The 25,425-nt window shown below is 43.7% G+C and overlaps 1 long non-coding RNA gene across 5 annotated transcripts in view, besides 1 other annotated feature; it reads left to right on the top strand.

Moving 5' to 3' along the window:
• The window catches only part of LOC101927896 (uncharacterized), a 95,712-nt gene that overhangs the window by 42,570 nt on the left and 27,717 nt on the right, over nt 1-25,425 (top strand). For 2 of the 5 annotated variants that reach the window (XR_007088125.1, XR_007088128.1), the window contains exons 3-6: nt 11,582-12,198; nt 12,292-12,483; nt 21,207-21,387; nt 22,116-23,890. This is a non-coding gene — a long non-coding RNA (uncharacterized LOC101927896). Of the gene's footprint in view, nt 1-11,581; nt 12,199-12,291; nt 12,484-21,206; nt 21,388-22,115; nt 23,891-25,425 lie in introns of those variants that run through there. The other 3 variants (XR_002959457.2, XR_007088127.1, XR_007088126.1) reach the window with 3 other exon arrangements.
• Nucleotides 11,098-12,297: an enhancer, noted in NCBI's record as "CDK7 strongly-dependent group 2 enhancer chr2:235742667-235743866 (GRCh37/hg19 assembly coordinates)". NCBI's record gives its function as "activates an origin of replication core promoter dependent on BRD2, BRD4, P300/CBP, MED14 and CDK7 cofactors, with strong dependence on CDK7, by STARR-seq in HCT116 cells {active_cell/tissue: HCT116}" and the evidence as "EXISTENCE:reporter gene assay evidence [ECO:0000049][PMID:35650434]".

Genomic DNA, 25,425 nt, shown 5'->3' with positions numbered 1-25,425 from the left:
AGGCTCTTTGCTATTTTTGCTTTTAGCTGAGATATTGTATAAAGGTCCCCAAATGTGACAGGGCTCTGGTTGTCCGAGAAGGTTTGTGGGTTGATAATATAAATAGAAGCTGGTCCTTTCATCCAGCCCAATCTTTAGAGCTTTTTGCCAGGGCTCCTGTTTGGCTCATGTTCATGTTTGCTGAACTCCCTATTTATTTTGGACTTTGGTTTTTAGACCGGGTGACTCTGAATATCAATGGCTTAGCAACGTGCTATTTTTCATGAACACACCCCCAAAGTTTACTCTTTTGACTGATATTTGTGTTCTTAAAACAAAGACATTTAAAAAATAACACTATGTGCAAAAAGATGCTTATCTGTATTTATGTACAGATGGTTCTCGACTATCTTGGTTCAACTGAACAATTTTTTGACTTTACCATGGTGTGAAAGCAATACAGTGGAAACTGTACTTTGGGCACCTGTACAACTACTCTGTTTTTCACTTTCGGTACAATATTTGATAAATTACATGAGCAATTCAGCACTTTATTATAAAATGGCTTTGCATTAGAGGATTTTGCCCAATTGTAGGCTAATGTAAGTGTTCTGTGCACATTTAAGGTAGGCTGTGCTAAGCTATGATGTTTGCTAGATGAGACATAAAATGCATTTTTGACTTACGATATTGTCAACTTACGACGGGTTTATTGGGATGGAATCCCACTGTGAGTTGAGGAGCATCTGTATATATCTCTCTCTGTAAATTTCAAAGCAGACTAAATGTGCAGATAAGTCAATGACAGTTCCCCATGAGTAGAATATTATAAAGCCACTGCAAAACAACAAAGCACTACAGGCAATGCTTGTGACAGGTGAAATGGGCAGAATACCAAAAGAGTGTGAAGGCTTTACCTCCAAGTAGCTAATGTTTTGCATTATTCACATTCAACAGAGCCACCATTTATTGAACATCTGTTGTGTGCCAGGCACATAGCAAGGTGTTTTCATGTGCCTTTCTCATGAATGCTTGTGGAAAACATGAAACGGGCATCATGACTTCTGTAGACGGAAGTGTTCAGGCCAATGGTCAGGGTCAGGGTATATGGAAGGAATTCATTTGTCTGGCAGGGATTGGTTAACGGGACATGAGGGTCTGTTCCAAGCTGAGATTCCATGATCTAGCCATAACTCATACATAAATTCCACTCATCTCTCTCTGGAAGTAGGATTCCAGTCACGTCTCTCTGGACCCCTCTTTGCTTTCATCATAGTCCTGGTAGCAAAGCAACTCCAAGTACACTGAAACTAAAGGTGTGTCTGGGAAAGTTGGCCAAAGTGGACTGGCCAAAACTTTATTTATTTATTTATTTATTTATTTAGAGACAGAGTCTCACTCTGTCACCAGGCTGGAGTGTACTAGCGTGATCCTGGCTCACTGCAACCTCCACCGCCTGGTACAAGCAATTCTCCTGTCTCAGCCTCCCAGGTAGCTGGGATTACAGGCATATGCCACCACGCCTGGCTAGTTTTTGTGTTTCAGTACAGATGGGGTTTCACCATGTTGGTCAAGCTGGTCCTGAAGTCCTGACCTCAGATGATTCACCTGCCTCGGCCTCCCAAAATGCTGGGATTACAGGCATGAGCCACCATGCTCCACGTATTTTTAAAATGTAAACAGACCATAAACAATGTACAGATCTCAGAAGAGATGAAGGGGTAGAAAGTAAATGCTTGTTCCTTTTCTGTTGGCCCCAGACCCCCATGTCCCTGGCTCCCTTTTTTAGTAGCAGTCACTGCTGCCACTTCTTGCCTCACCTTCTAGAGAGTCCAAGCATATAAAATATTCTAAATATGACTGTCTTTATCCCTTGCTTTTTACACCCAAAAGCAACACGTTTCTTTTTCAAATGGTTTTCTCCCTTCTCCAATGCGACATCTAGGAGCTCATTCCACATGGGGGCATATCAATCTGCTTCATTCTTTTTAAAAGGCTGCATAGATTCAATTTATTAATTTACTTAAATATTCCTTAGCAAAGGGTCTTTAGATTGTTTCCAATTTTTCCTAATGCAAACAATAGTAGAATGAATAGCACAGACACGTATCATTTCGATACATGGGGACGTTTGTACGATAAATTCCTGGAAGAGACATGCTTTGTCAAAGGACATGAGAATTTTTAATTTTCCAAATTACTTCCATAAACGATGGGATAGTTTAATCCCCCATCCCCCTCAGTGGTATTTGAATTAGTCTCCAGACTGTTCACTTTCTGGTTCAATATATGCTAGTGGGCTGGGAAGAACACAGGTTAGTGCCAGTGGAATGGACCTGGCCAATTCACTTCTCCGTGAATCTCAACTTCCATCACCGCAAAAATGAAATGCCACCTGTCCAAGCAACATCACAACTTCTGTAAAGACTAAGTCAGAAAGCGTTCAGTGCCATAACTTGTCAACTCTGGGAGTGTTTGGGAGTGCCTTTGGTCAACTGCAAAGCTTAATGTGTGTGCTTCTCCGGGCCAGCATGGAGGCTTTGTGCTCTCCTCTCATGCGAGGTTCTGTTCAGTGGGAGTCATAACACCTTTGAGCATCCTCAGAACCAGATAAGGAGGCCAAGTGAGTGCACGGTGCCACCGTGGAAGGGGTTTGTAGAAGTCATAGGTTGGTCTGATTTCCCTCTTAAGGCTGCAGGCTGGGAGAAGGTCAAACAAAGCTCAGAGCGGCTGGATGTGTCATCCCAGCAACCTGGCCATGCCTGGTGAAATATGACAATGCCACCCTCACTAAGTAAAGAGTACAGTGACCATTGAACCCTACCCATGGCATCTGTGAAAAACTGCTTGGCTGCCGAACACCACTGTAGGAGCTGGGAAGCATAAATTTCAAATGTTCATGTCCTTTTGGGGAGAAAATGTGAGTTGAATTCTAACTTGAACATTACATTCAGAATAAAGTTATTAGCTGAGTGCTTGTTTTCTTGCAGATTCTACTGTAGTGTTACAAAATAGAGCACCTAAATAGCTATTTTTTTTGGAAAAAAATCATTATTTTTTCTGGGGGGAGGGGGTGGGGGCGGGAATGGAGTTTCACTCTGTTGCCAAGGCTGGAGTGCAATGGCGCCATCTCGGCTCATTGCAACCTCTGCCTCCCAGGTTCAAGTGATTCTCCCACCTCAGCATCCTGAGTAGCTGGGATTACAGGCTTTCACCACCATTAATTTTTGCATTTTTAGTAGAGAAGGGGTTTCGCCATTTTGGCCAGGCCGGTCTTGAACTTCTGACCTCAAGTGATCTGCCCGCTTGGCCTGCTAAAGTGCTGGGGTTACAAGCATGAGCCACTGCGCCCGGCCCATTGCATGCCTTTTAAAAGTTAATATTTCATATCTTAAGCTTAAAATAGTAAAGTAACTATATATTATACAAACTTCAGTCAATATAGAAGTGTGTGAAGTGTGAGACTCCTCAATTCCTTGTCCCTACCCGCAGCCCCAACACCTACATGCACTAGCAGGGGAAAGTTAGATCTTTACCTTTTTGAAAGCTTTTTTGGGGTGCATATTAAAAACTATGAATATGCACATGTATAAGACTATATAACCCTTTTACAAAAATGGAACCCTAGCAACACAGCGACGTGTAGGTTGGTTTTTTATGTAGATGATATTTTGATAGAGGGTGGCGATCTTTAGCTCCTAGAACCAAGGATGCATCATTTGCATTTTCCTTTGTGTTAATCCTGCACATACAGAGTGTGATGTTGAATTTTTCAGGCACACTCACCATGGTGGGGGGAGGGGTCAGAGAGTCCAGGCAATACCCTAAGAGAAGCGAGTGACCAATGCTGTGTATCCTAGAGAACATAACAGAATTCAAGAGGCATAATAGTCATCTTCAAATACCTGAGAGATTGTTAGAGGGAAGAACCGTTGCTCCATTCTGGTGGCTCCTGGAGGGGTGTCTGTGACCAGCTGATGGAAGCTTCAGGGTAGCAGAGATCAATAGACCCGAAGTGACATCCTAAGAATGTTGGTTTTGAGTCCTACTGGCTGAGTTCCAATCTTAGCTCTTCTACCTAGTAGCTGAATAAAGTCCCTGTGCCTCAGTTTCCTCATCTATAAAATGGGGTAAGCAAATACTTCTTCTGTGCTGTTTCTATGAAAAATAAAAGATATTCCATGTAAATCTCTCAGACTAGTACCTGGTGCAGAGTGAGCTCCCCCCATAACCATAATGGTCCTCCCAATGCTTTTGGTTGGTCAGCGGGCTATCTATGAGCTCTCTGGTCATTGATGGCCATATTAGCTTTCAGTGCTCAAAAGACTGACAGTCTATATCCCTATGCAGCACGACTTCAGAAAATCCCATCTTTTACCAGGTTTCTGTCATTGTGAAACTCCCCAATTCCTCCCCATTTCTGAGAATACCCTGCCTCCAGATGTGCCTGATCCTCAAGTCTGTCCTTGTTCTTTCCCTGTTGCTCAGCTGGCGGCTGACTCCTCCCCTGCTCTCTCAGATGAATGCCATTTACTGAACCAAAGTTGGCTTCCTCCAGGCTGGGTGGATCTTCCCTGCCCTGCTTCACCCAAGCATGATCCCAGGCTTCTCTTAATTCCCCACAACACAGCAAAAAACATACTGGATTGTTTAACAAAGCTTACTCCATGTAGGGAATGCCTTGGTTCCTGTACCCACCCCTGACGTCACCTGTACTATGGTCATAGTTGCTGTCTACCCAAGGGGACACATCTGCAGGTGTGGCGACACCATGGAATCAAGGCTGGGTTGCTTATGTCCTTTAAACTGTGGTCACTTGGCTCAAAGTCCAGCCCCTTGGGGCCCTTGGCCAGATCCATTTCCTTATTCTTCATTCTACTCCAGCCTGGGCAACGGTAGGCTGGTAAATTCTGTCTCAATAAACAAAACAAAAAGTCAGAAAGCCATGACTGTAGCGTTTGCCATTTTTTTTTTTTGGCATGTAAATACTCTCACCATGGTCTGTTTCAAGCTACCAACAGCTTAACATCTTGTTTGGAAAATTTCTGCCTGTTTGGTTATTGGCCTTCCAGGATGCATTGCTAGGCAGAGGCATGTGTGGTGTTCCTCGTGGCTACGTTGGTTCTGGGTATGATATGGGTACTGACAAGCAAGAAAATTGGAAGCAAGGAGCTCATTTCACCCTGCACAGAGTTTCTGTGGCAATTTCTCTTGTCTTGAGTTTCCAAACTAGAGGTCTGGGATTGAATGAAGTGAATGGGCTAAACTATCTTTTTGTTTTTTTTAACTTTAATATCCTGTATCATTGTCACAATGTAGCCTTCTTTTCGTGTATCTGTGAGACTCCTCCCTTGAACGAACCTCAAAGCTCTAGTTTGGGGATGGCAGATAGGGCACCAGGGCCAGTTTTCTGGAACCATCTATGCTATTTTTATGTGCTGGATATAAAAGACTCATGCTTTTTGACCTTTGCAGGTACTTGTGACCATCACACATGCTTCTTCCATAAAGTCTTGTCCATAAACTATTATCCACCAATTGAAATTTTGTTTAAGAAATAAAAAAGGAGTAAAAGTCCTTGGGACTCAATACTGAGGACTATTTTCGGTTCACATGCCTTTCCCTCCAAGAATCCTATCAGTCAGATTTCTGGGTTAAACTTTATTTTCACCCAGTATTTTCAATCTCTAACAGAATAAACAGCAACCCCAGGAAATAGATACATCTGCAGCTCTGCAAAGAATAACATTCCCTCCCCTCCCAGGCGGGGAGAGAGCACCGCAGTCCCCACTCCCCCAAGAAGGAGGCCAGATGCAAGGGAGTTTCCTTTCTTTGGCTGGTCTTCTAAGCAAAGTGAAGAATTCTTGGAGCATGAGTCATCTGTCCTGATTCCACGCGGCACTGCATGGCCAGGACCTCCTGGGGAAGAGGAAAAGTGAGAAAGAGGCTGTATTAGTCAGGGTTCTCTAGAGGGATGGAACTGATAGGATAGATGTATATATGAAGGGGAGTTTATTAAGGAGTATTGACTTACACGATCACAAGGTGAGGCCCCACAATAGGCCGTCTGCAAGCTGAGGAGCAAGGAAGCCAGTCTGAATCCCAAAGCTGAAGAACCTGGAGTCTGACATCCTTCAATCCAATCAAGTTGACACTCAATATTAACCTACAGAGGCGACCCACCACTCATGGTTCTGTGTCCCTGAGTAGGGCTCCCAGTCACTGCCCATCTTCTCCAGAGCTCTGCCCAGTTGTCACTTGAGGGTTGTAGTTTTCAAAGTGAGACTTAAGAACATGGGACTATATATATTTATGTATATATCCAGCAGTGTAGAGCTCAGGGTTGTCAAGAGGCCCAGAGAAGAGGGGAGCAATCTGTGCCTCTTTCTGCCTTGGTCCTGGGCCAAGGGCCATGTGCGATAATGAACGGGTCATGGCCCTGATGGGTGCATCTTAAACTGCAGTGAAGAACTCACCCTCCTCTTCTGCAGAGAGTCACCAGGGCCAACCCAGAGGCTTCGGGAAGCATACCTTTCAAAAGAGATGAGGAAGTTCTGGCCCAGATTCTCTGAATGCAAATATTCTCTATTGGTAAAAAGAACTCATTCTGGGACAAATCTTCATTCTGAGTTGTAGGCAAATTACCTTTGTGGTCACCAGACAGTAGCTCTGCCAGTTTGTTTTACAGCAAGTATGTAATTTAAGAGGTGGACATGCCCATTCCCAAAGGATTCTTTACTTTGTCACGAGATTCTTGACACAGGATTGCATAAGGTTTTCCAAGGTTTGCTGCAAGTTCATTCACTACTTGGATGGCCAGAAAAGCCTGCGATGTCAACGTCACTGTCAATTAAGGTCAGTCAGGAATGCAGGAAAAGGCCCTTTGGAATTGCCACCCAAGTCTTCCATCTGGGGTGGTTTTGCTAACAAACAAGTTCTGCAGGACCCGATGCCTTAGGACATTAGTGCAGTCTTCCTTGTCATTTAACTTTGGAATTGCTTAAGTGGGTTTCTTCACCATGACTCTTCTCAGGACTCTGCATATGAAAATTTGTGCGTGTCCTAGAGCCAGTCATGTTACAATTTCCACAATCTTATGTGACTATGTCACCCTATGGATTTGCATCTATTTTTACTGACCCTGTTCTGAGGAATCCAATTAAGTAGCTCAACTACCAATCATGCTCCACAAATCAGCTGGTGTTTAGTGCAGGAAAAGCTCTTCTGAAAAGTGTGCTTGTTTGTTTTTATACACATTGTTGATAGGGTAAATAACTCTTACATATATGCTAGAGACTTCCTGAGACCCCACCTGGTGGAGCCCGATAACCCCAGAGAAGGATTTGCTTACCCTGCTGGTCTCATTTCTCCCTTGGAATCCTGCCCTATCTGAGGAGCTGGTCAGGATGCAGCGGGGAGCTGGCATCTGTGCAAATGTCACACTCACCATCATGTCATCCACCCCACGACCCCTTCCTGAAGAAGACACAACCTCAGTTTCTTCAAATGCCTGATGTGTTAGCTTGGATTCTATCAAACAAGGACAGTGGCAGAGTTTTGGTTTTGTTATAAGAAGAAACGCTGCGTTGTGCGAGTGGTCCCAGTGTGCACGTCTGGGGTGTGCTTCAGGAAAACGTTAGGCCAATGATCAATTCCCAGGTGTCTTGACCCAATCAGTTTATTAGAAACAAGCTTTGTTTCCCTTTCTTACAAATATCTTCTCCACCACTCGAAGTCCTGGACCTGCCTGGTTTCAGTATTGTAGTGGGGTTCTCTTCCTGTAGGTGCTAAGTGGGAAAGGGAATTTGACAGCCAACCAGGCTGTTTGTTTTAAAACAGTCATCCAGGTTAGGGGTGGTGAACATAAAATATGTTCCAGAAAGGTTGTAAAATGATCCTTCCCTTGGTCATCTCCGGGAAACCGTCTTCTGAAGGTCATTTTTAGAAACAGGATTCTAAAATGAATTAAAGCAGCTCACCAAATAGCCCCTAGAGTCAGAATCCACTTGCACTTGTTATCATAATGAATTCTCAGACACAAGAGTAAAGTCAAATACTAGAAAACGGTTTTAAGGTGCTTTATTTAGCTCTTTCTGTGTGTGCATTGTTTATTGGCAGAATTCTCAATTCTTCTCTTCTGCCATTAATATTGAGTGAGCATGTGTGTGTTAATCAAAGAATAGCACTTTTGGGGGATACATTTTAAGGGTTTAAGTGTAATTATTTAGTTTAGAATTGGCTGGAATATAAGCTCCTCGGTGGAATATGTGGGAAATTATACAATGTGTATTATTGATTCACCATTGCAATACAAAGATGAACCCCTTTTTTGTGTAAAAATCAGTATAACTGCTACAATATGAGATATGCAGTAGTCCCTCTGCTGATGCTGAGGAGACTGTCAGCTCTGTGTATCCGAGGAGGCATTGGTTCCAGAATCCCTATGGATACCAACATTCATCGATGCTCAAGTCCCTTCTATAAAATGGCACAGTGTTTGCATATAATCTATCCTCATCCTCCCATAAACCTTCAATCATCTCTAGATTACTTATTATACCTAATACATGTAAATGGTTGTTGTATTGTTTTTAAAATTCATATTATTATTATTATTATTTTTCCCCTGACTATTTTTGGACCACAATGGGTTGAATCCTTGGATTCGGGTCCTGTGTTTACTGTACTGAAAATGTCAACAGCAAGGATCATGGTAGGATGGAGGGGTGTTAGGGGTTGGGCCCTGGAGTCATAAAAATTGCACTGTGTCCTGGCCTCTCTGTTTACCAGCTGTTGAATCTTGTGCCTGTTACTTAATTTCTGTGAGTCCCACTTCCCTCATCTGTAAAATGCAGAGGGCACTAGTAACTTACCTCATGGTCTGAGAATTCTTTCACTCGCTCGTTCAATAATTGATTATGCACCAACCAGGCACTGTCACCAGCTCGGGGAAATAGGACAGAGGCAGCATCTTGTGAATATTCAATACATATTGACTCTTTTTTTTTTTTTTTTTGAGACGGAGTCCTGCTCTGTCGCCCAGGCTGGAGTGCAGTGACGCGATCTTGGCTCACTGCAAGCTCCGCCTCCCGGGTTCACGCCATTCTCCTGCCTCAGCCTCCCGAGTAGCTGGGACTACAGGCGCCCGCCACCATGCCTGGCTAAATTTTGTATTTTTAGTAGAGATGGGGTTTCACCTGCATATTGACTCTTACTTCCCAAATTAGTAGGAAGAAGAGGAGAGGTGCTCTTGCCTTATAAATATCCCTTCCCAGGTGGGCGTGGTGGCTCACACCTGTAATCCCAGCACTTTGGGAAGCCGAGGTGGGCGGATCACCTGAGGTCGGAAGTTTGAGACCAGCCTGGCCAACATGGAGAAACCCTGTCTCTACTAAAAATACAAAATTAGCTGGGTGTGGTGGCGCATGCCTGTAATCCCAGCTATTTGGAAGGCTGAGGCAGGAGAATCACTTGAACCCAGGAGGCAGAGGTTGCCGTGAGCCGAGATTGCACCATTGCACTCCAGCCTGGGCAACAACAGTGAAACTCCATTTCAAAAATAAATACATAAATACCCCTTCCCTCTCCCTCTGGGGTTTTCTTGTGTATATATTCACTATAACTTCTGTAATAAAAAATTTCCATTGTGAGGAGGAGAAAGGTCGCAAGATGCTCTCCAGTGAGTTATAGCCTGCTGAAGTGCTTGCAAATGACATCCTGTAAAAGCAGTGTGCGAGGAGCAGTTACGGAGATGTTTCTCTGAGGATTTATGTGTCTCATGGCCCTCTGAGCACACACTTGCTGGTGCCCCTCTCCAAGGTCCCTCTCTGAGGCCACACCAGTTTGTAGCACTTACTGCCAGTCCTGTGGCTCCAGGGCTCACTACGTACACTGCAACTGCCCTTCCTTCCCAGGACTCACTCTGTGGCTCGTGACCTCAGATAACCTTGGACGCCAAATAGATAGGGAAGCCCTGGGATTTGTGCCTGTCAGGGAAAGAGAGAACATACCCTCTACTTTGCTCATAATCAAGAAATCTGATTTCACAATTGGCTACAGCTAAAGCCCTTTGATGAAATGTTTCCAAAACACTCATTAAACTGTTTTGGAAAATGTAAAGATGGGCCTGTAGCGCAGACTGAGGTGTGTGCATATGTGTGTGGAGTTGAGACTCAACTGTGCTACTGGGAATTTAAGATGTTAGAGGCTGGCTGGGGGTGGAAGCAAAGGGAGAACAAGAGGAAAGAGGGTGGTGTATGGAGATACCTGGCAGAGGCCAGGATCTAACAGGAAACAGTAGCCATAAACAATGCCCTGTGTAAAACCAGGCACCACATGTTTGGGTCGAGGAGGCCTGGCATTGAGTATGAAGTTGGCTGCCTCATGATGGGCCACTAATAGCCTTGCATCCGGGAAATGTGAGGGACAACCGGGGAGGAGTGTGTACAGCAGGGCAAGCTGACTGCAGAGGGAGGCTGACAGGGGCTGCAGCTGAGCGCCACACTGGGCTGCTATCTTTATCTCTATGCTCACAGGTAATTTTAAATTTGATTGTCAGGGGAAAAGCTATATACATGGAAATGCTCCTCATGTCACTTACAATGACAAAAAAATAGAAGCTCTGGATTTCTATCCATATTGAAATGGTTAATTAAATGTCAGTATTTAATAGTCATGGACTGTTGTGCGGTCATTAAAGCAGATCATTATGAAGACTGGGGAGCAACATGGGAGACAATTATGGTACACGAATGAAAGGAGGATATAGCATCTTACACCCAGTACGATGGCAACTAATAACACTCAGAACCGTGTCATCGAGCACCTACCTACCATGTGCCAGGGAGGAATGGATTCTGGACCATCAGAAAAGGTCTTTGAGAATGGGGCATGCTAGGGAGTAACAGAGCAAATGAATATGCAATGAGAAATCATGAAAAATTCTAAATAAATGGCCAAAAAGGTAATATGTAACGAAAACATATGAAAGTTCTATGGATATAAATAGGGCACAGTGGATTCAGAATAAGAGAGAATAGCCTACTTGAGAATAGCTGGCTGGGAACCAACCCTGCAAATCAACAAAAGGCTGGAAGGAACACATGCAAGTCAGAGCAAGGAAACAGAGGTTTTGTGTGGAGGTCATGTGGGTGCCTCCTTGGGTTCAAGTCCTGGCTTCTCTACTTACCTGTGTGGGACCCTGGGCACATTCCTTAACTTCTCTCTCAGTTTTCTCATTTGTAAAGTGGGGTTAACAGTATCATCTACCCCTTAGGGATGAAGGGATTAATGCAGGAAATCACCAACAGCTAGTATATAGGATACATGTTCAATAATTGTTAGCTATTATCATTGTTGTATTATTTTTTTAGTCTTGACTTTCAAAAACAATGTATTAATATTGCACAGATAATTATAATGTCTAAATATAAAGAAAATAATTTTTAATGTGTTAGTCTGGATCTTCCAATTCCTGGACGGTTGTGAGTGTGTGTGTTTGTGTTGGGGGAGCATATCCTTTGGATGTGAACGGAGAAGTTGGGGCCTTGGTTGTCGCTGGCAGCTGATTCATGAGGGTAACCATTTTATCTTGTGAGGGCAGCCATCTTCTATCCCAAGGGCAGCCATCTTCTATCCCAAGGGCAGCCATCTTCTATCCTGAGGGAAGCTGGCCTGAGGATGAAGCCAGAATATGGAGAAGAGGAGAAGGAGATGGCTGAGAAGCAGAACGGAAACCTGAACTGCATTTTTCTTAGAGCAAGAATTACATCAATTCTTCAAGCCAAGTTGAGCACTGTTGGTTTCTGCTACTTGGAACTGAATAAACTCTGACAGATACTGTACAGGGAACAGTACTTGGGGAGCTCCACTTCATCTGAGGCCTTCGTGAGTGGCTTGTGTCACATTCCTGGCTGTTCAGGCATCAGTCCTGGTTTCCTGGTGAGCTCTCTGCTGACTCCACCCAGAGCTCCCTTGCTTCCGTCTCTGCAGCAGCTACCTCCGTTCTCACACATGGCTTCTTCTGAGTTTTCTTATTTCAGCCAGTACCATGGAACTCTCCTGACCTTGTGGGCTTTGGGCAGAAATAACTCCACTCCCCACTTCTCTCCTAAATTACTGGCAATGGTGATACTGACCATGCAGGGAGAAACCTGAGCTGTTAATGCTAGGAGCGTCAAGCTGTTGGTAGTGAAGCCATCATCCTCTCCAAGTTCCCAGGTAGGAAACATTCCTCTCTTCTTGCTCTCCACCCAGTCATAAGGTCTTGTCAATATTTTTCTTTGCACTGTGTTTTTGCACTATGTCTTTCAGATACTTCTTTGTGAAAATGATGCACCAGACTCTCATTTGTCATCACTGGGATTACTGTGATCTTGTCTTGAATTTCTACGAGTTTCACATCCACGGTGGTAACTTAACCTGTCACTGTCTTGTTGCCTACACCTGCATTACCCAGAACTACAGCCCAGGCACAGGCCCCTTCCAGGATTCAGGTGGTCTCCAGTGAGTGAATCAAATATTTTTTGTGTGAATCTGTTCCCCCTACCTCATGGCTCTCAGCTGTAGACCTTCTTTCATGTTTGGCAGGTAAAGCTGTGGGACCAGAGGTGGCTTCATAGTGATGCTATTGAAACTGAGCTTTGCTTGCCTGGATCCCCTCCTAAGATCCCGGAGGGGCCCTAGCTTTGCGTTCACATGGTCATACAAATTTGAAAATTTGCTAAACTAGACCAGGTGTGGTGGCTTATGCTTGTAATCCTAGTGCTTTGGGAGGCTGAGATGGGAGGATCATTTGAGGCCAGGAATTCAAGGCCAGCCTGAGAAACATATTGAAACCTTGGCTCTAGAAAATATTAAACAAACAAACAAAAAAATTAGCTAGACACGGTGGCACATACCTGTAGTCCCAGCTACTTGGGAGTATAAGGTGGGAAGATGGCTTGAGGCCAGGATTTCGTGGCTGCAGGGATCCAGGATCATGCCACTGCACTCCAGCCTGGGTGACAGAGTGAGACTCTATCTCTAAAAAATAAAATAAAACGAATTTTTTTTTTTTTGAAACAGTCTCACTCTGTCACCCAGGCTGGAGTGCAGTTGCATGGTCTTGGCTCACTGCAACCTCTGCGGTGCAGGTTCAAGCGATTCTCTTTCCTCAGCCTCCCTAATAACTGGGATTACAGGCACCTGCCACCGTGCCTGGCTAATTTTTGTATTTTTAGTGGAGACAGGGTTTCACCATAATGGTCAGGCTGGTCTTGAACTCCTGAACTCGTGATCCACCCACCTCGGCCTTCCAAAGTGCTGAGATTACAGGCGTGAGCCACCACGCCTGGCAATAAAGGGGAAATTTTTTTAAAAAGAAAATTTGCTAAACTAAGATGTGGCAATGGGAACAGTTAATACCATTGACTCTTTCCATGTAGATGCCTCCTATGTCCACACTCACCTCACATCAGGCGGGTGTTGGAGAGTGTGGGAATGTTAGGGATCCTCTAAAGAGAAAAAAAGAGAAGCTGGGTTGTGGATTCGTTTAGTTTGTGTTTAGTGATATGTATATATATGCAGTGTGCAGTCACTTTCATGTAGAGCCAAATGATTCTTAGCAAGGTTCACAAGCTCATTAGTGGCAGTTAGGGCTGGAAATCTGGTCAGTCTGATTTCAGCGATAATGACCTTAGCAGTGGCTTTCATGTGTTTAGGTCTAGAAATAGGCCTTTGATTTCTTAACTAAAAGGATAATGGTCTTTGTTAGCCATGTGCCAGTATTTAGCACAGCTTCCTACCTCCTTACTTGATCCCAGCAGTTTCTTGTTCGCTCATCCACTGTTACTTTACTTAAACTGTATTCTGTCAAACTGAATTCCTTGCTTTTGCCGAACTCTGTCTCAGCAAAGAGCATGTTCCTTATGCTCTTCCCTTGGCTTGAAATGGCCTTGCCCAGACATATCTGTATGGGAACTTATTTCTTTCTGATTTGATACAAAATACCAACACCGATGAAGATAACATCAACTCACAGTGTATTATTATAATGAAGACGTTGGTGATAAGCTGGTTAAAAAGTGTCATCAATTCAAAAGGTATTTAGCATAAGTTAATAGACTAGAAACACTGAAATGCCCCCAATTCTTTCTTACAACTCATGTATGAAATACATTTTATAGAGATTCCCCCAAACCTAATAACACTTAAAAAATTTACATGATATTACCAATAAAGTTTTGTGAAGTAGAAAGAAATTTTCATAAATGATCAATATTAAAAAACTAATTTCCTTCAACCATGCTAGAACTAAGGCTAAAAATATGTTTCTTGCTTTTTATAGAAAATAATATTATAAAGTTGTTGACATTAAAAGGCAGTGAGAGTATACAGCTAAAAATATGTGGAAAAAAGAAGATCATTATACAAGTGTGTCAGCTGGTTAATTAAAATATTGTTATTCTCGGTTATGTGACGTTTGTGTTATTTCTTGGTTATTTATTTAACAATTATAATTTATTATAATTTCTCCTCTTATTCAAAACAAGAATTTATTTTTATATCTAAAATATTAAATTTTGTGTTCTTTTTCTGAAAGCCTAACCCCATTGTACAAATGTCAGCCTGCATGTGACCTAGTATTTCTTCTGGTGCAGTGCAGCGGGAGGAGGACACTCTTCCCTAAGCATGTTTCACTGCTTTTCCGGCAATGTAGCTGACAGCTGAAGCCAGCCCAGATCCTCACAAAGGCCCCCACAGCCCTTCTGGGTTCTGTCTGCGGCTCCAGATCCTTGATTCTTGGGGTTGGCCTGGGGAAGTCAGACCTTGTCCCCTCTTGGGTTCCCTTTTCCATCTCCAGGGGCATGAACACAAAGTCTTCCCCGGAAGGATTCCTGTCTCTTTCACAAACCAAGTCATGTCCACAGAGCCCGAGGGTCCCTGCCTCAAGAGGCCTTGCCACAGCTGCTCCTGGTGACTCCATTGTGCCATTCTGATGAGTTCTGATGAGTCCCCCGTGATTTCTTGTCCACCTGTCATCTAGTGCACACTGCAGCCAGGTTTATCTCCCTGAAACATCATTTTTCATGCATCAGACCAGGACCCAAAATCTCCAGTGACACCTCCCACCCACTTCTCCAAAAGGAATAAAGTCCATACTTCTTTGCTTGGTGTTCCAGGTCATTCACAAACTTTCCTTGTCCTGACTTTGATGTGGAATCACAAATCCCTCTGCCTCCTCCTCGTCTCACATTTCCTTCAGCTGCACAGTCTTAGTCATTGTCCCCCAATTGGTGACATGAAAAGTTGTTTGTCCAAGTCTTGCCTCCCAGCTGACCTTGTGCTCACTGTCCTCTCCAGAGATCCACCGTGGTGAGTTCCCATGGAATGGTGTGTCCACTCCCTTCTCTCAGATGTTTACCATCTTTCATTATCTCCATGACTACTTTGATGATGAATTTTTATTATTTTTATTTTTGATTAAAAAAATTTTTGGAGACAGAGTCTCTAGCCCGTTGCCCAGGCTGGAGTGTGGTGGCATGATCAGGGCTCACTGCAGCCTCTACTTCCCAGGCTCAGGTGATCTCCCACCTCAGCCTCCCGAGTAGCTGGGATTACAGGCATGTGCTACCATGCCCAACTAATTTTTGTATTTTTTGTAGAGATGAGATTTCACCACGGTGCCCAGGTGTCTCAATCTCCTGGGCCTCAAGCGATCCTCCCACCCTGGCCTCCCAAAGTACTGGGATTACAGGTGTGAACCACTGCACCCAGCCTGATGATGAATATTTAAATTCCAAGACTGTGTGGTCTGAAATGTTGTGCTTAAACAACTTTGCTATTTCTTTAGAAAGTCTATTACATATCTAAAGAGGAAAGAATTTTCACAGATCTCTAAGCATGTCCACTTTTGCTAGATATCATTAAATAAGAAGACTTGCTAATCTGGCTCTTCAAACTTTCATTGTAAGCATTTAGTATTTATTTCTACTTCCCCAATAATCTATGTATCTGTGTATCTTTACACTGCATCTAGTGAAGCAAGCAACTGTATATTTAATCTACTGAAAAATCTTGAAGATACAAAAAACTATAAGAGGCCGGCCGCAGTGGCTCATGCCTGTAATCCCAGCACCTTGGGAGGCAGAGGAGGGTGGATCACTTAAGGCCAAGAGTTCGAGACCAGCCTGGCCAACATGGCAAAATCCCGTCTTTACCAAAAACACAAAAAAAATGTTAGCCAGGTGCGGCAGTGCACGCCTGTAGCTCCAGCTACTTAGGAGGCTGAGAATTGCTTGAGCCTGGGAGGCAGAGGTTGCAGTGAGCCTAGATCACTCCACTGCACTCCAGCCTGGGTGGAAGGCACGAGACTTTGTGGAAAGAAAGAAAGGAGAGAGAGAGAGAGAGAGAGAGAGAGAGAGAAAGAGAGAGAGAGAGACAGAAATGAAGGAAGGAAGGAGGAAAGAGAGGAAAGAAAGAAACAAAATTACAGAAGAAGCTTGGGATATATACGTTGTTTCTATTTACACTCATACTGAATCAGATACCTCTGCCCAGCATGTTTTCAGTGAATAAACAAGTCCTTACCATTAGCCTAGGTGTATACTGGTTGAGGAAAACCTACATCCTTACAGTCATTGTGCCGCTACAACCTTGAGACCCTTGAGCATGTACTGTCAGTGGCTGATGTTGTCTCTGATAAAGTGAGGCAGTAGAGATTTTATTCACCCAGAGGAAATAAACAGGCTAGTTTCCACATTGTAATAAGGTGAATTCAGAATCCCAGGTCTGAAGCCAGATGTTCTAAATGATCCCTTTGGGAAAAAATTAGGTAATCGTAGGCATGGTCTGCAGTGGCAGGCCTGGCCTGGGTACTTTTGGGAAGGAAAGAGAATGTTGATGAAGGTGAGAATGCAGGAGGCAGGAAGAAAAGAAAATGAAGAAGGCAAGAAAGACAAAAGAGAATACTGAATGAATAAGTGGATCTTGGCTTTATTAGTCTAGACTCTCTTAATTACAACTGATCGAAATACATTCAGACTACCTCAAGCAAAACAAAACAAACAAATGTTCCTCCCCTGAAGCATAATTGACTCATGATGGAAAAGTCTAGGTTGCCAGATTTCAGACATAGCCGAATCCAGGCACTGAAGTACCATCCTCAGGGCTCTGTGTCTACCCCTGTCCTTTGGCTCTGTTCTCAGCAGTGATTTGATTCTCCAGCCATGGCAGCAAGAATGGCCGTTGGCAGCTGCCGGTTTATGAGGTCTTTCTAGCTTGAGAACCCTGCAGGGTGGGAGGCTACCCGTTCCCGGTCGTGTGCATATGTCAGTTTTCATGCAGGATACCTGTTGGTTCTGCTGACGCCTGTGCCTACTCACTGGAGAGGGTTTAAGGAGTCACGACCGGCCAGACCTGGCCACATGACATCCTGGAAGCCAGGGGTGGATGAGACGGAAGCTGCCTTTGCAAAAATTGTGACTGAGAGAAATCTGACCTAACCGACTCCATCTTGCTTCTAACCTCCAAGCGGCCCTTGTTCATTCCTGGGCATAGGCCAAAGTAACTTTGGGAGGAATTTAGTTTATAGTTCAACTTTGAAACAAAGATGATAACAGCCCCTCCCCAAAACAAGGTCTGGTGACCAGGCAAGGTCACCAGATTGCCTTTGTAAAACTAACAAATTAGCCACAAGATTAGAAATTATGGCTCAGGAGTTACACAGCCACAACCCACAAGATTCCTAACCTCCCTAGTTGCTCCTGTAGATAACGTTACCATTGTGAAAGCTGAGATTGGTGTGGAAGGTATTTTTCAGATCCTGCATTCCAGTGGACCAGCTGGCAGCACCCAGACCAGTAAACTCACCTGGCCTTGTGGACCCCACCCAGGAATGGACTCAGTGCAAGAGGACAGCTTTAACCCCTGTGATTCCATCTCTGACCCAACAATCAGTCTTCCCCTTTCCCTAGGCCTTGCCTGCCAAACGATCTTTAAAAAATTCAGCCTCCAGATTTTCGGGGAGGCTGATTTGGGTAATAATACAACTCTGGTCTCCCATTTAGCTGGCTCTATGTGTATTAAACTCGTTCTCTATTGCAATTCCCCTGTCTTGATAAATCAGCTCTATCTGTGCAGTGGGCAAGAAGAACTTGTGGGGTGGTTACTACATAGCAAATGACACCAGAACCATGCAGAATGGAACAGAGACTGTTCCCCCAAAGGAAGTGAGTTCATTTCCTGGTATAAAGTATAGGTGAATTCAGTTTTTGTGATTATGGCGGGGGTGCAGGAAGGCATTTCAATATTTCTCCAACGGCCCCAGCAGGAGAGGCACACTCTTAAGGAATGCCCTGAGGATCCTACCTGCTTCTTGAATGTTTATTACAGGGAAAACGGAATGTGTGTGCTGCTGAGCATACTCTGTTCCTATGGCCTCCAGGTGAATTTTGCTCAATGGACTAGAATTAAATTTGGAGTCTTGAAAAGAAAAGTGAAACTTATTGGGCATAATTGTTACTTGTTAAATATTAGCTGGAAAAACTATTATGACAAAGTTAATGAAGAAATAAAAATCATTAATTGAGCACAAACACACACCCTGCTAGTCTAGTGTCTGATTTTATCACCTCTGGGTTACCTGGTGTCAGCAGGGCAGGGACCAGGTGAGTCAAGGGAGGCACTCTGGGCACAACATTTAAGGAAGCACTCACTCTTAGGCTCTCACAAATGCAAGATCTGCTCCTGAGAGTGAGTGCCTCTTTAAATTTTTCCAACCTGAAAGCCTCTCTTAAGGAAGCATTCACTCTCAGAGCTGAGCCTACATTTGTAAGGGCCTGGGAGTGAGCACCTCCTTAAATGCTGTGCCCTGAGCACCTGTCTGGGCTTGCCCTAACCTGGTTGTGGGTGGGACAGGGATGCTTCCTAGAGATGATGGTGGGATGCAGCGTGGCTCTTATGGAAAGCTGATGTTTAAGTTGGTTGCACAAGTCAAAAAAATGGTCCAGAACAGAAACCAAATCCAAATATTCATAGATTTCAAGACCAAGTATTTCAGTGCAGAAGTCATTGCAAAAGCCAAGAGTGGGATCCAATGACAGAAGAAGTGGTAACAGAAGCTGAGTCCAAAAGATGAAGGGGTAAGTGTAGAAGCCAGGTGTTAAATAGGAAAGGCAAGACCCAAACATGCAGATCAAAGCACAGACCACCATGAGGGGGGAGATAGACAGGATCGTCACAATTCCACACTTTATTTGTTGTGTAATATTTCATCATGAGAATATAGCATAAGTATTTTTGGTAACAGCCTTATTGAGGTATAATGTTATTTTGAGACAAGGCCTGCCTCTGTGACCTGGGCTGGAGCGCAGTGGCGTGATCCCGGCTCACTGCAACTGTTGAGATATAATTGACATGCCATATAATTCACCCATTTAAAGTATGCACTTCAGTGGTTTTTAGGATAATCACGGAGTTGTGCAACTATCACCACAATATCAGAACATTTTCATCACTCCAAGAGAAGCCATACTCCTTAGTTATCACCTCCAGCTGTCCTATTCCCCTCAGCCCTAGGCATCCACTAGCATAATTCCTTTTTAAATATTTGCATTGTTGATTATTTGGCTTGTTTGCAATATTTCACAATTACAAGCAGTGGTCCATAGGATAGTCGTAGAGGAAGCATATATTTCCCCTATGACCACTGCTGCTTTCAGGTGGGTCCCATCAATGGAAGTGCCTTGCGCCTCGATGAGCCCCATGCCGGGATGGGGGTGGAGAGGAGGACCAGGGGCAGAATGTGGTTGCCAGGGTAGTGAGTCCTGGAGTAATGTGAGAAGTGTTTCCAGAGTGGGAGGAGGTGGAAAGGGTTGAGGGAGCAAGATAGGAAAGGACAAAAAAAAAAAAAAAGAAAAAAGAAATCCACAATGAAAGGATTGAGTGGAAATTCTTCAGTGTTCTGGTGAGTGGTCAAAGGATATTTTTAAAAAGGAAAGATGCCCAATGACCAGTGCAGAGTTGGTCATGTTGCTGTGTTGCGGATCCCTCTTCACGTTGCCTCCTTTCACCCATGCCAGTCTTCTGTGGTGGCTGCGGCACTCATGAATGCTTGGAAAAGTGTGTGTGTGTGTGTGTGTGTGTGTGAGAGAGAGAGAGCACAGGCGTGTGTGTGTGAGCACAGGTGTGTGTGTGTGAGCACAGGTGTGTGAGCTTGGAAAGGTGTCTGAGCATAGGTGCGTGTGCACAGGTGTGTAGGTGTATGTGTCAACGAAGACACTGAGTTTCCTTTCATAGTGGACATGATGGCAGTGAAGTCAATGTGTGCAGAAGCAAGAGCCTGAGGACTGAGGTGACCAGGAGAAGCTGCGTCTCCTTAAAATGCACAAAGTCCTGGCAAGGCTGTGGTGGAACTGAAGAGCTCAATGAATGCTAATCAGATCTCCTCAAGCAGCAGCAATGCCTTGGCTGCTGTCTGGATTACATATCTTTGTGACAATATTGCTTCCAACACTAAAGATGCTGTTTCCAAAGGCATTTTCCCAGGACTGAGATTACTGATCCAACACGAAGTAAGACTTTTGTGACTTGTGAAATGTGAATGGTGTTCCCAAAGGATCGCATCAATGTCCAGGACCACCAGCAATGTATGTGTGCACCAGTTCTGGCACATCTGCTCCAGACACGTGACAATTCAGGAGTTAAAAATCTCTTTGCGTTGCTGTTTTCAGTCATGTTTCAGTGATTGACACCCCGATAGCCTTCATTTCTAAGGTAGGGGATATTTTCTCTGAGAAATTGTCACCTTCATACAAAGTCTCAAGAGAGTAAGTTACCAGAATTAAGATGACATATTTGGATCTTAGATTCACAGTGATTTGTGAGTTTTTCACTTATACTTCTCAGACACAATTCAGCCCAGATCATGTGGAAAGACATGTTTGGAAAGAGGAAAACAGCTGGGATAAAATCTTTATTTTGACAGGCAAAATAAAATGGTGCTAATGTCCAAACACGTCTGGACTGTTAATGCTTCTAAAAATGGTCTCCACTTTAGGAAATGATATACATTTTTACACTAAAGGAAATAAATATTTTCTCATAGTCAAACTTAATGTCATTAACTAGACAAGTGAAGAGGGTCATAGATCTTTCTGTAGTTTATACTATAGCTTTGCTTAATAAGACTTAGAGATAGCAACTTGAACTTAATCACATATTATAGTTTTTTTTTTTTTTTTTTGCAGGAAATTTCTTTTAGAATGTAATAAATGCTTAAAGAAGAATTATACTGTGAGTAGAACAGCATGCAGCCTGGCACTTAGCAAGTGATCGAGAAATAATTCATGAGTGAATGAATGAACAGATGACAGATGTAACCAAAAATCAAAACTAAAATCACTTCTGAAGTCGAGGATGCACTTCTCAGTAAGTAACTTTGGTTATGATATCTCTGGTCCTTAAGGAAGAATTCTGGCTGGGCACAGTGGCTCATGCCTGTAATCCCAGCACTTTGGGAAGCCAAGGAGAGTGGACCACTTGAGACCAGGTGTTTGAGACCAGCCTGGCCAACATGGTGAAACCCCATCTCTACTAAAAATACAAAAATTAGCCAGGTGTGGTGGTGGGTGCCTCTAATCCCAGTTGCTTGGGAGGCTGAGGCAGGAGAATCGCTTGAATCCAGGAGGTAGAGGTTGCAGTGAGCCGAGATCATGCCACTGCACTCCAGCCCAGGTGACAGAGACCTGTTTCAAAATAATAATAATAATAATAATAATAATAATAATAATTTCTGAGAGTATATTGTCTCTTCTCCTTAGTTACAACACTGTGCTCTTTCTGGAGCTTAGTTTGATGGTCTTAATTTAAATTATGCCAATAACAAGCATTTTTGAGGAAGTGAGTTGATAACACAAATGCTTCTATGTGTGCAACGAGATCGCATTCTTAAAAAAACACATAACTTATTCTGTATCTGGGAGCAGATTCCATGTTATGAGGCTGTTTTTCAGGCCAGTGCTCCTGCTGTGTGGGCCCATTTAGCACAATTCCTCTGTGGGATTGCAGATGTGTCATAATTTCTAGGCACAAACTAATGTCAATCTGCTTGCACTTAAGTCCTCTGTTGTTAAACTAAATCATTTCCTCCTTTTCAGGCATTTTTCTCATCTGGATTTAACATAGATCTGTTCTCACACAAACATCTGTGGAATGAGCCTGGACATTGCTACGGAGGGCTGGTTAGAGGAGGAGGAAAGAAAGAATAATGGCTAATCATTAAGTTGCAGTGTGGGTGTTTGGTTGGGAAGAACCAGCTGGCGGAGGAATGGATACTACCTCTGACTCAGAGACATGGGCAGTGACCCCTATTGTCTGGCCAAGAAGGAGTCACATGTCTTTGGTGACTTCTTTGTTTACACTCAGAGTTTAACTATGAGGCAGAAATGGTTTCTTTGCCAAAGTCTACATTTGATGAAACATGGCTAATTTTAATTTTAGAGCTGAGCTTGGACCTTTCTTCTAGTCATTGCTCCAAAGTGGTGCTTACGGGAAAGGAGAGTATTCTTCATGATCAGCTCTGTCTTACATTCAAGTGCAGTCAGGCACGGAGGGACTAGAGCATCGGCCCTAGGCCACAGCTGGAAAGTCCTCTGCGTTGCTCAACAGGGGTCACAAAGCAAACTGAGATCATACGTGGGCAAAGGAAAAAAGAGAAGGCAAAACATTCAAAATCTCAAACATTTGAAACCAGATTTCAGTTGAAATATATAAGTTAATCAGTATCAAGCAAAAATGTCAGTCCCCAGAAAGCCAGTCTCTCCTTCACATTTATGTAAATACAGTTTGGGTTCTGATATCATTGGCTGCTGAATTTAATATTGAGACAAAGTGTAGTAGAGTAAAAGGCCTCCCAAAGCCACTTATTCCACTCATTCAGTCAAAAGAAATTTACTAAATGCTTTCCTTGTGAGCAACGCACTAAGCCAAGTTATGGCACTTCACTCTGTCAGCTTTCAAACGCACCATCCTAACACCATCACCATAAACAACATCATCACCAGAACCATCATCATCACCATCATTATCACCACTGTCATAATAACCAATACCATTCCCATTACCCAACACCCCCATCACCATCACCATTCCCATCCCAGCACCTTCATTATCACCATCCCCATCCCCATCTTATCACCATCATCGTCACCATCATCATCTCCAACACCATCCCCATCACTGACACTATCATAATCACCATAATCATCCCCATTCCAACACTATCATCACCATCATCAATACCATCACCAACACTGCCCTCATCTCAACACTATCACTATCCTAACCCCACCACTATTCCAACTCAATCACTATCACCACCACCAACACCATCCCCATTCCAACACTATCATCACCATCACTACCATCACCAACACTGCCCTCATCTCAACACTATCACTATCCTAACCCCACCACTATTCCAACTCAATCACTATCACCACCACCAACACCATCCCCATTCCGACACTATCATCACCATCACTACCATCACCAACACTGTCCTCATCTCAACACTATCACTATCCTAACCCCACCACTATTCCAACTCGATCACTATCACCACCACCAACACCATCCCCATTCCAACACCATCTTCATCACCAACACTATCATCACCATCACTATCATCAACACCATCGTCATTACCGTCACCATCACCATCACAATCATATCAACACCATCTCTGTCCAACACTACCATCATCACCAACGCCATTCTCCTTTGGAACTCTAGGCTTTCTTCGTACATTAGCTCATTGATTTTGGCCCTATGTGGTAGATATTATGGTCCTCATTTGTTTTTGATAGAAATGGAGCCTCAGAACAGTGACATTACTTGCCTGAGCCACATGCTAATAAATGGCAAAACTATATCCATTTTCTACTTCCTCAGATTCTCAGTTTTCTGTGGGATGTATCAGGAGACCACACCACATTAATCATGAAGATAAAAATGACCTTCATAGTAATGTATTATGTTCATATCAGTGCTGAAATGTTTTGAAGCACCTTTAAATTTATTACATCATTTAAGCTTATAGTAATCCCTGTAGAATGACAAGAATGTGTTATTATGGTCAAATTTAAAGCATATTTTGTTAAATATCTCATTTCCAAAATGAACTTGCAGTAAATTAAGTATCTGGTAACACATTTCCAAAATTAATCATTGTCGTCTGATGACACAGAAGTTATTCCAGGGCTATTGGTCAATTCTGGGTCAGTTTCCTCATGGAAACTGCATCTGAAAAGCTAAACTGGAAGGTACCTGTATTCAAAATGGCTAAAGGACTGATTAGGATTAGGATTGATTCCTAAATTAGCAATGACATTTTTTCCCACAAAGGATTATGCTTGGGGTTCCTGAATAACTGATTCCATCAATCATTGATTAACCTCCTCCTACGTGCCTGGTGTTGGGCTGAACTCTGCGGATACAAGAGGAGTAAGACACAGGTCCCGGCCTTGAGAGCTTACCATCCTGTGTGAGAGGCAGACACACAAGGAGAAATGTTCAATGCAGTGACCTGGCTGTGATAGTCGCATCCCAAGTGCTCTACGGGGACAGAGGAGAGGCCCTGAGCTCGCCCATGGGTCTGCCAGCATAAAGGCAAGAGAGGTGTCCAGCCTCAGGCACCTCCTCAGCCCAGTCTAGGAGCATAAATGAGAATTAGCCCAGTAAAAGGCTGGATGACAGAAAGGATCTGGGCAGAATGGACAGCACAAAACAACACTGTGGGTGGGGAAATAGCTGAGGGTGTGTAGGGAGCTGCGCTGGAGTCAAAAGCAACTTGTGTCAGTTTGCCTCAGACTTTCTTAGTTTTAGCACTGAAAGTCTCACATCCTGGCCATCTCCTTAGTCCCAGGCCAACTGGGATAGATGGTTAACCAAGGTAGCAAGCAATAAAGTTAAAAAAGATAGCCAGTGGCTGCATTATGGAGGGTTCTGTGTGTCAAGTGAAAGTTGTTTGGTTTTGTGTTATGGGTGATGGGGATCCACCGAAGGGTTTCAGAGACACTGCATGGTCAGGGAGGGACAGGAGAGATGTGACTTCCTGGAGGGGACAGGCAGCCTCATAATAAGTATGGAGGAGAGGGAGCAAGTGAGAGCATTGGAAGGGTTAAATCAATGGCTACTGTATGAGAGAAGCCTGACTTGGGGAAGTGAATTGGGTTGGAAAGGACAGGTGTGCAGAGAGTTGATTAAACTATGATAGTTTGGTTTGGAATATACTGTGTTGAAGGCATCTGCGTGTCCTTCGTATGCATAAGAGCACACAGATTGAGCATCAACAACCTTCCCAGGGTGCCGCTTTCCATTACTCTTTTAGGTCTCATTTGCCAGGAACTGAAAAGATGTGGAATTCCAGCTGAACTGCGTTTCTGGAGAACTCACAGTGAGCCAGGC

The sequence above is a fragment of the Homo sapiens genome, chromosome 2, assembly GCF_000001405.40.
Source record: "Homo sapiens chromosome 2, GRCh38.p14 Primary Assembly".
NCBI classification, from domain to species: domain Eukaryota; kingdom Metazoa; phylum Chordata; class Mammalia; order Primates; family Hominidae; genus Homo; species Homo sapiens.
The sequence above is the reverse complement of the archived record's forward strand: the minus strand, read 5'-3'. Positions and strand labels throughout refer to the sequence as shown.